Source organism: Homo sapiens, chromosome 14, assembly GCF_000001405.40.
Source record: "Homo sapiens chromosome 14, GRCh38.p14 Primary Assembly".
Classification (NCBI taxonomy): domain Eukaryota; kingdom Metazoa; phylum Chordata; class Mammalia; order Primates; family Hominidae; genus Homo; species Homo sapiens.
The window spans coordinates 87790829-87801422 of NC_000014.9; the positions used below are offsets into that span (position 1 = coordinate 87790829).

At 41.6% G+C, this 10594-nt stretch overlaps 1 annotated feature.

Annotated features, from left to right (window-relative positions):
- Window positions 5972-6663: an enhancer, noted in NCBI's record as "OCT4-NANOG hESC enhancer chr14:88263144-88263835 (GRCh37/hg19 assembly coordinates)". NCBI's record gives its function as "activates a minimal SCP1, AML or CMV promoter by ChIP-STARR-seq in naive H9 embryonic stem cells {active_cell/tissue: H9 hESC(naive)}" and the evidence as "EXISTENCE:reporter gene assay evidence [ECO:0000049][PMID:30033119]".

Sequence of the window (10594 nt, forward strand, 5' to 3'; positions counted from 1 at the left end):
GCGTTCAGTATTCTCAAGTTTATTGGGATCTTTCTATACATCTCCATTATAGTTTTCTGAATCCCATTTCTCCCCAGTCAATGCTCTCACTTTAACAGAAGAAACTTTGTGAGGTTGATAATACAATTGTTCTTGTATTAAAGCTGTTCCCAGGATAAGATTCAGGGTTTGGCTTTCAGAAATTTCAGCCCTGGGACTGTAGGAGGTAAGAGTTTCTGCTGTAGATGAATGTTTATGTAACCCCCACCAAAAGGCATATGTTTAAATGCGAACCCTCAAGGTGATGGTATCAGGTATTAGGAGGTAGGATCTTTGGGAGGTGACAGGTCATGGTCAGAGCCCTCCTGAATGAGATTAGTGCTCTTATAAAAGAAGCCCCAGAGACCACTCTCACGTTTTCCACCATGTAAGGATACAGGAGAAGATCACCATCTATGAACCAGGAAGTGAGCCTTCCCTGGACACTAAATATACCGTTGCCTTGATCTTGGCTTCTCAGCCTCCATAACTGTGAGAAATAAATTTCTATTGCTTATAAAATACCAGTTTATGGCATTTTGTAATAGCAGCCTATATGAATTAAGACAGTTTCTTTTAGGGAAGATATAAACGTTTTTAGCTCATTTATTTCAAGCTGGAACTAGGAATTTCAAGCTCCTAGTTCATCCTGTTTTTCCTCTTTCCCCAGCAGTTAGCAGCAAACCAGTCAATCTCATCATGCTCCTTACTTCGACTAAAACGTTCTAAGATATCAAATACACAATCAACCAGGATTTTGCCTTTTATCTGCATTTGATCAGGAGTATCTGATGACAGTATTATATGTATTTCTATTGCTACACCATGCCATGGACTACCAGTGTCTACTTTTTCACTGGAAATAGAGTCATTAGTGCCTTTAAATCTAATCAGATTGGAGAACCAATTTATACTCTTCAGTGTCTCTAGAACCACTCTTGGTATCAAATTCTCTGTCACTCAGAGTTCTACTAGAGAAGTAAAACCAGTTATATGATTGTTGTTGTAGGGGGTGGCAAGTCTGAAATCCATAGAGCAGGCCAGCAGGCTAGAAATTATCAGCCAGGAGCTGATGCTTCTCTCCAAAGGCATAATTTCTTCTTTTTTTTGGTTCAGAGAAAACCGTTTTGCTCTTAAATCCTTCCAACTGAGTGGATAAGGCCCACCCAGATTATTAAGGATATTATCCTTTATTGAATGTCACCTGATTGTAGGTGTTAATCACATTTGCAAAATATATTCACAGCAACACTTATATGAGTGTTTAATTGAATAAGTGAGTACTATAACCTAACCAAGTTGACCTATGCAACTAAACATCATGCTATTGTCTGCTCAGAAAAATTGGGACATTAGAACACGTGACATTTCAAGAAAATGAATTCCATATGATAGTCCATCATTCCAAGTATTGCTCTGCCATTGAACTCAGTCCAGGTAATTCTGGAATTAAATCAAAATCCAATAACTGAGATGAAGCCAATGTTGACCTGTCAAAGGCAACACTAGAGCAATGAGACCGGCATCTCAAGATAGTTAAGCCTTTGGGTATGGGTGTTGGTCCCTCAGTGGATAGCAATGAAGGGACCCTCCTACCCCGAAGTAGTTCCATTGCCTTAAGGCACACTGTTTCCAGTCATTTCTTTTCAAAATGATTTCTGAGACTGTTCATATTATTAGCAAGAATTATATTAAATAGTCAACAAGACTTTTTGCAAGTATCCAAGGAAATAAAACACAGAGGTGTATTTTTTTCATCAAAACAGAAAGGGGAGAGAGGGGCTCCTGGTTGAAAATTTATTGAACTTTAAGAATAAGTAAGTCATTTACATTAATTCATCTTATCCTCAAAACAATCCCAAGAGCCACTATTATTATCCCCATTTTAAATAGGGAAATTGAGGTTAATAATTGGTACCACTGAAAGTTTCTTTATCGGTCTGACTCCAAATACCATTTCCACTACATCTAGTTCCTGCCCAAACAGAATATATCTCCAAGAAATACAGAGAGCCCACATACTTAGGGAAACAGAAATGAACTGGACTCTGTTTCACTTCTGCCCACATGGACAACTATTATTCTGTCCTTCTCAGAGAACAGGTAAGTCATCTTTGGTGGCATCCAACGTCTCAAAACTAAGAGTAGACCAAATTCTCTCTGGAAGTCTCATACATCCCCCCTCCCCAACGGCAGCCAGTCCCTGTCAGTCTTAGATCTAATATTCACAGGACCTGTGGCATGAATACAAATGAAGACCCATATACTGATGTTATCAACTGAGCTCGCAAATTCTGTATAAAACATGTTGTATCTTTCTACCTTGACAAGTATGCCTTCATACTAATCTGGAAGGCCAGTTCAAATTTACCAGTCTCAGACTCTTCAGCGTTTCATGCAGGAACGTGGTGGCAGTGTGGAGGAAGTTGGCTGGGTCCTCAGCCTAGAGCCCACCCCACTTCTATTTCTATCCCCAGGTGCCTGTTGCACCATAAGGAGGCTCACGTGTGCCCACTCCATCCGGCATCTACGCTTTGTCCACACCTCTACTAACAGCCTCCCCTTGGCTGCCTCAGGGGCCTGAGGATTCCCACCTGCAGAGTAACTTCCCCTCAGAAGAATGGACTCCAACAAGAGACCCTGGAAGTGGGATCAGGCTACTTTGGCAAGGAAGTCTGGTTACCAGGTTGCTAGAGGGTTCTGGAGAAAAAATGGGAATGGACTGTGCCTGAACACCTCCCCTTGCCCTCTGGGTTCTGACACAGCTGGAAAAGTTGCAGAAAAGGACACTGTAAAGCATGGAGACCCAGGACAGGGATGCCTTTGGCTCAGGCAAAGAGCAGTATGAAGACTCAAAACAGCCTCCTGACAAATTGGCTGTAGCTCTTAGTCCCTCAACGACTACTGTGCCTGCCCCCCTCACTTAGCCTGCTTCTCTCACTTACTGCCAATTCCAGACCCGTTAAGACAATGGATTACCACAATGTTCATTTTACAATAACATACACAAGGCATGAATTCACAGTAACCAAGCCTCAGTACACTCTCAAACAGCTATGACTAGGGGAAATGGTCTGGCAGGGTTTTGCACTGTAATATTTATCATAGCAATATCATAGTCTCCTCACCAACGCACACACACACAGGTTGTATCAGTTTGCTCCAGAATCCAATAAAAGGAAGCAACAAATAGAATACGTTTAACTAAAGTCACTAAATACAGGCTTTTCCTTCAAAACAACAAAAAAAGGAAAATGAATAAAACAGCCTACTTTGATTAGGCTTTGATTTCTCTGAATCACAGGCATTGTTTTTAATAGGTCTTGGAAGGTTCAGAAAACAGTTGTTAAGTTTCCTAACTTTCTCTGGTCTCTTAAAATCTCGGGGGTTTATTCATGGTCCCTACATTCTAAGTAGGCATTGTAACTCTGAATACTATATTAGTGGAATTTGCATAGTATTTTTTAGTTGGAGGAATGACTCCTGTGGAAGGATCATGGAAAGTTGCTGGCCCTACTCATGCATGTGGGTTCTGGGGCTGCCAACACTTGTGTTATTTCCTATAGCTATCAGTCCCACCGCACATTTTCAGCACTTTTAATCCTTTCTCGTCACATTGTCTGAATTCTCTTTCACTTTTATCTATGACATTTTTTTTTACTCACATGGTGCAGTCCCTTCTTTTTCTTTCTTGATAGGTTAAAACAATGTTCCTGTTGTAAAGTCACTCTCACCCTCTGTGTAGGCACATGATCAACTCATATATGACATTTTCAAGTCATGGGCATTTGGCTATGTCTTGGACACAGGAGATCACTCCATGCCTCCCTCACACCATAAAAACCACTTTTTTATTTTAAGTAAACCCAACGAGGATCAGAAGTATGAAAACTCATTCATGCGTGTGAATTAAAACAGGCTTAGAAACACAAGGGGAAGAATGAATCAGTGGTTAAATGCACACTGGTCATGAGTGTTTTTCCTTGCTAGTGCTCCAGGAATTAAAAACTATTTAATCCATAAAATAATTTTTGTACATGAATTTGTATTTCTTTGGGAAGTCATGGGAAGAAATACACCAGTTAAAATATCAAGTTCACACTCAACTTTCTCTATGACAGTGGGAAAAAAAAGGTAATCTTCCCAGAGAGCCTGGTCTCATAGTAAAGAGAAATAATGCCTAACTTACAGTGCTGTTTCTGGGGGAAAAAAATTAGGTCCTGATACTAAGAAGAAATTCAATAAATGTTAGTTTCTTTCTTCCCACTTGGGTACAATTAGCTAAATGTACAGTAGAAAGTATGGCATGAGGACTTCTGAAACCAGAAAGACCAAGGTTTAAATTCTGCTACTTGCTTTGCCCTCCTTGGACAAGTTACTCACTGTCTCTGAGCCTCAGTTTCTACATCTGCAAAATAGTTAACTACTCAAAGTGTTGTGATGAGGACTAAATGTGGGATGCCTTGGAATAGGGCCTGACACACAGTAAGAAATCAATAAATTTAAAAATAGCTGAATACATGGAGCAAAGTAGTTCACGTTTCATATCCTGACTCTGTCACTTCCCAGCTATGTTAACTCGGGCAAATGAACCTCTCCAAGAATCATTTTCTTGTATTCTTAAATTAATAATTTCTACTTTATCCATTTTTTCATGAGGTTTATATAAAGCAATGTAAGGAAAGTGTCACATTTAGAGTCTGGCACATATTAAGTGTTAATAAACAATAACAATAATTAATACCTTTAAAGAAGAAATTGAAAGCTGCCAGGGGAAGAACATTATTAGATCTTCTATTACAGATGTATATGGTTAAATTGCAGAGAAATAGGTAACACTCAGAATCCAAAAATAATAATATGGAGGTAAACTGGAGAGCCGTTTCAGAAAACTTCTGATGGATTCTTCTCTCTCTCTCCCTCCCTCCCCTTCCTTTCCCCCCACCCCAAGAAATAGCAATATATATAAAATACACACACACACACACATTAAGACAAGATAAGGACCAGGCTCAGTGGCTCACGCCTGCAATCCCAGTACTTCGAGAGGCCGAGGCAGGTGGATAGCTTCAGCCCTGCATTTCGAGGCCAGCCTGGGCAACATGGCGAGACGCCATCTCTACAAAAAATACAGAAAATTAGCCAAGCTTGGTGGTGAATGCCTGTAGTCCCAGCTTCTCAGGTGGCTGAGGTGGGAGGATCAATTGAGCCCAGGAGTTTGAGGCTGCAATGAGCTATAATTGCACCGGGGCACTCCAGCCTGGGTGACAGAATGAGACTCTGTCTCAAAAAAAAAAAAAAAAAAGAAGAAGAAGACAAGACATAGTGTCCTAGAATAATTGTTGAATTTGCTAAAATAAAAACTTCAGCTGAATTAAATTTAAAGGAATTTAATTGAGCAATGAATGATTTGCAAATAGAACAGCCAGAATCACAGCAGAGTCAGAGAGGCTCCAGGGGTGCCTCATGGTCAGAACAAATTTATGGACAAAAAAGTAAAGTGATGTACAGAAATCAGAAGTGAGACACAGGAATGGATGGATTGGTTACAGGTTGGCATTTGCCTTATTGGAACACTGCTTGAACACTTGGCAATGTATGAGTGGTTGAAGTACATCTTCTGGGATTGGCCAAGACTCAGCTATTGTTACAGGTGCATACTCTTAAGTTAGGTTTTCAATCTTGTCTACCTAATAAGTTAGGTTGCAGTTCATCCACAAGGACTCAAATATAGAAGTACAGAGTCCTTCTCAGGCCATATTTAGTTTGCTTTAACAAACTGAATTAGGTGGACCTTGTCAATTCTTCTGGTAAAGCACCTATCACCTTGAATGAAAAAGTGAGAGATTCTTAAGTCCAGAAAATATATGTTTTCTCCTTGTGTGCTTATCACAGAGCCTGGCACAGAGTAACTTCTCAGTAATTTTTAATCCATTTTTAATTAAATTTTTCTGGCCCTATTGGCCTGTATTCCCATCAGAACATGAGCACCTAGCATGCACGGATGTTCGAGTTCATTTCCGTATCCCTTGCATCTGATCCAGAATCCGGCACATCGTGAGTCCTCCACAAGTCCCGAACAATAAATTAATTAATTAAATGGATATCAGTTAATTTAACTGAGTTTGTGACACTGACAGCATAGCATTTTTTGTTACTGGACTCCTCGGAAGCATGAGAATCCAGCCGTGGTGTTTTCTTGTTTACGTACCTATCAGTCAAATGCTAAGCTGCTCAGCTGTACTTGTTATTGCTCTCCTCCCACTGTTATAACAAGCATCTCCTAATAGACCGTACCTTTCAGCAAACTGCCGCATGCTGTGATCACACCAGATAAACTAGAGCCATAACAATAAGGCTAATCTTGCAGAGATTAAGTCATAGCAGCTCACAAAAGGAAGATGTTGCGATGTCAGAGGCAGCCACCTACTACCGAAGCACTCAGAGGAGAAGTGGGAGGAAAGGAGGATGCTGGATGCAGATCCAGGCTCTAGGAGAACCTGTCTTGTTTCCCTGGCCCAGAAGTCAGAGGAAGGTCCATGAGGATAAGACCTGTGGTGAAGAAAGTCCTGCAACAGCAAGAGAACAAGGCTTCTCTATTTGGAATTTTGTGTTTGCAAAAAGCGAAAATAAAGTAACTTTCAAAAAAAAAATCAGCTTCGCTGGGCTCAGTGGCTCACCCCTGTGATCCCAACACTTTGGGAGGACAAGGCAGGCAGATAACTTGAGGTCAAGAGTTTGAGAACAGCCTGGCCAACATGGCAAAAGCCCACTCTACTAAAAATACAAAAATTAGCGTGGTGGCATGCGCCTGTAGCCCCAGCTACTCGGGAGGCTGAGGCAGGAGAATCGCTTGAACCTGGGAGGCAGAGGCTGCAGTGAGCCGAGATCACGCCACTGCTCCACCCCAACCCAGGCAACAGAGCAAGACTCCTCTTTAGGTCCTGCTGTCTCTCATCTTCCCTGCCTTCCTCTCCAGTAGTGGGACATCTCACTGCTCTCACATCATGCTGGGGGCGGGGGAAACCATGAGGCTAGGACCCACTGACTCTGACACCCAGTCTCTGGTGCAAAAGAATGACTATTGGTGCTGAGTCCTGCAGGGGCTTGGTGGGCTGGGTGAGTGAGGCTGTCTCAGGATCACTTACTGGACATTGGTGAGACCATCTCTGTTACAGGGGTCTAAAATCTTCCAAGTCTTTACCTAAGATTGAAACATTACACTACAGGCTTTTTCTCCATTCTCAGATCCTCCAAACCTAATTGGGGTTTATGTAAAGCTCCCCACCTGCTCCACCACTGCAAGGCTCAGGCCCCAGTGTGAGTCTTTTCCTTCTCTTCCACTTTTCCACTCAGCCCAGCACTCTGGTACCATGAAGCTGGTAATCTCTGTTTTGCTGCTGAGTTCCCTCAGGCCCACAGTCTTTGAGACTCAGAAGCCAAAAATTTGGCTACTTCGTTATGTCTTCTGTCATGCCACTCTCTTCAGAGCCATGAGTGATGCTCTGCAGGGGAGTGGCCTGCACCTGCGAGAGTACGGGAAAATGCAGGGCAAGTCTGCACGGAGATCCGTGTAGAAACTCTCCCTAGCAGCTCCAACCGGCCCTGGTGGGGGCACAAGTCGGTCCCAAAAAACCTCCCACTGAGTCTCCTCTGGCTTAGGCCTAATTTTGTTTTCCCCACAAGATGGGGCATTTCAGAAATTGTGGAGCTGAAGAACGACTGGAAAGCTGGAGGTTAATATAGGATGGGGACTATTTAGCAATTCTGACAATAAGGCTGAAGCCAGGCTGGAAGCTACAGATAAGGTTATGCTTCCCACGCTGCAGGCTGGGGGCAGCCTCCAGATCCCATGCTAAGCTGGGGGCAGGGGGATGGGGAAGATGGTGAGACAGAGACCGACTCCAATAGCGCAGACCCTGGGGCCAGCGTGTAAGCCAGAAAAATGGGAACAGGATATTGGAGTTCTGAGCCTGAGGCTGGAAAGATGACCTTCAGATTCACATGTGGCTGCTGACCCTGAATGAGCTCTCTCTTTGTGCCACCCTGGCTTGACCCAGGCTTCCTTGTGTGGACAGAAGGAGCTGTCCTTCTGAGGTCAGACAACTATGGGTTAAATCCCTGGTCTGCTCTTAACCCTAACAAATTACTTAACCTCTTGCTGTGCATCTGTTTTCTTATTTATCAAATGTGGTAAACTTTCTCCCAGCTCCAAGTTTTTAAAGTTGTCACACGCCTCCACTCGCACACATGCACATGCGCACACACACACACAATACACATGAATCAGTCACCTATTCAACCAGGGCTTTCTCTTCAGCGACTCAGGAGCTCCGCAAATGCTGGGTAAAATTAAAACAACTTCCTCTAGGCTCCCCCAGTGAGACGGGTTTGGCTCCCCAGCCAAAAGTGGTTCCTTTGACTCTCTTCCTTCTTTCCAACATCAACTCATCCTCTTAAAGAAGAATAAACTCTTTTTACTCCTGGACAGTCACAAGCCCAACTAGAAATCAAGTACTAAAGCTATAGCTTTTATTTACTGAGCTTTCCTAATTATCTGGGTGGTTGCAAACTCCACCTGTGCCATGATCAATCCTGGGCCTGCATTAGCATCATAAAACCTAACAGCCTGTATTCTAAATGCACAGCAAATGCCCAGCAAAGGTCCCTGGGGAAAATGGCATGAGATCATTAACTCATCTTAGAAATTCAGGATATTCTTCATTTCCTTTCTCTGTCTCTTCCTCTTTCTTTTCGCAATGAGCACCGGAGTGTCGTGTTGGGAAATGAAGAAGCAGAAGAAGAGAATGGTACCATCTTGGCACTCATGCCCTCCATTTGTAAATGAATAGATTGTGGTGAGTATTGGTTTCTACCCTGGCTAACCATCAGAATTACTTATAGAATAACAACAAAGTTTCCTGGGCCATCTATATCTGCCTCAGGCCTATTGAATCAGAATTTCCAGGGCCAGTGCATCTGTTTTTTCAAAGCTTTCCAGGAGATTCTTAAGATCGGTCAGGTCTGAGAACCACTGGACTCTATAGATAAAACCCAGGCCACCTCAGCTTCAATAATCACCTTCCATTAAATTTACATTCTAGTTACTGCCATCGTTAAGGATCCTGTTACACACTTGTATTTATAGCAACTAACACATGTCAGAAGGATCCAAATGGTCTATCTTATAGGAAACAATATGTCACATGGGAGGTGGCTGAGGTGCCTCTCAGAAACTTAAGAGTTTATTTGGAGCTAAAACATTTATCAGGAGGGATTCTGTTGGCATTTCCAGCTGGCCAGCTTTACCTTTTAGGAAACTGCCTCATGCATTGCAGGGCATAGAGCATCCCTGGCCTCTATTTGCTAAATATTTGTAATATTCCCAGATTCACTGTGGCTATCCAGACAGACTTCTCATATGAGGAAACTGATGCCCAGCTCACTGTGAGAGAATGAATAATAATAAATAATTCCTACTTATAGGATCTAAGGAGGATATCATTTATTAAAAATAAAATAAATAATTATTACTTGTAATTATTTATAATTAATTATAATTATAATTAATTTATAGTGTTTTATAATTATTTTAATTAACTTATAATGTTATCAATCAATATTAATTAAAATTATTATTCATAATTATTATAATATAATATAATAATTATTCTTTATTGTGAGACTTAAATGAACAAATGCATGTAAGGCACTTATTACCATAATGCCTGGCACTAAGAAATATTCAATAAATGTTAACTATTATTACTATTGTTGTTATTAGTCCAGAAACACAATCAATTTTCAAATAGGTAAAAATTCTGAAATCGTGTGTGTGTGTGTGTGTGTGTGTGTTGCAAAGAGACCTGCTAGAGTCAGTCCATTGAGAAGAATAAACCCATTTTCTCCCTTTTAAGATGTTTTTTGTCCTACACATGTTACCACTTCATATTGTTCATATTACCTAGAAAGTTATTTAGCTTTTGCTTTTCTCTTAGTTCCCCTTAATTTAGAAATCTGTAGGGCCTCCAGACAAATCTACATGCTCGGTCTGAATGGCCACCCATTCTGTTCACCGGTGTCTAGGCAGGAATGGGTATCTTACAATCAAGCTACTCTCAATATAACCTACTCATCTCTAGGAATACTAACACCCATAACCAACTATCCCAAACAAACAGCCAAACCCCTCTCAAATTATTCTTAGGGTTGGAGTCAAACAACTTATATTTTTGCCTCCCCTGGAACAAGTGCTTTAGCCATTATCTTCATTGTCCTGAACCTAAAGATACAAAAATAGGAGGCTCAGAGAGCTTTTCTGATTTGACATCACTCACAAAGGGAAAGGAGTGCAGGAGGAGAAGATCCCCCAAAGCAGTGGGTGGGGGTAGGAAGGAGACTATGTATTAATAAGAACCAACACTGAATTATTGAAGACTACACACATCGATTACAACTATGACAAGCCCTTCAGTATTTTGAGCTTCAGTTTTCACCTCTGTAACGAGGTGATAAGACAACCAGCTTCATAACATTCTTGTAAAGGTAACAAGAATGTAGCCAGAGCGTTCCCATT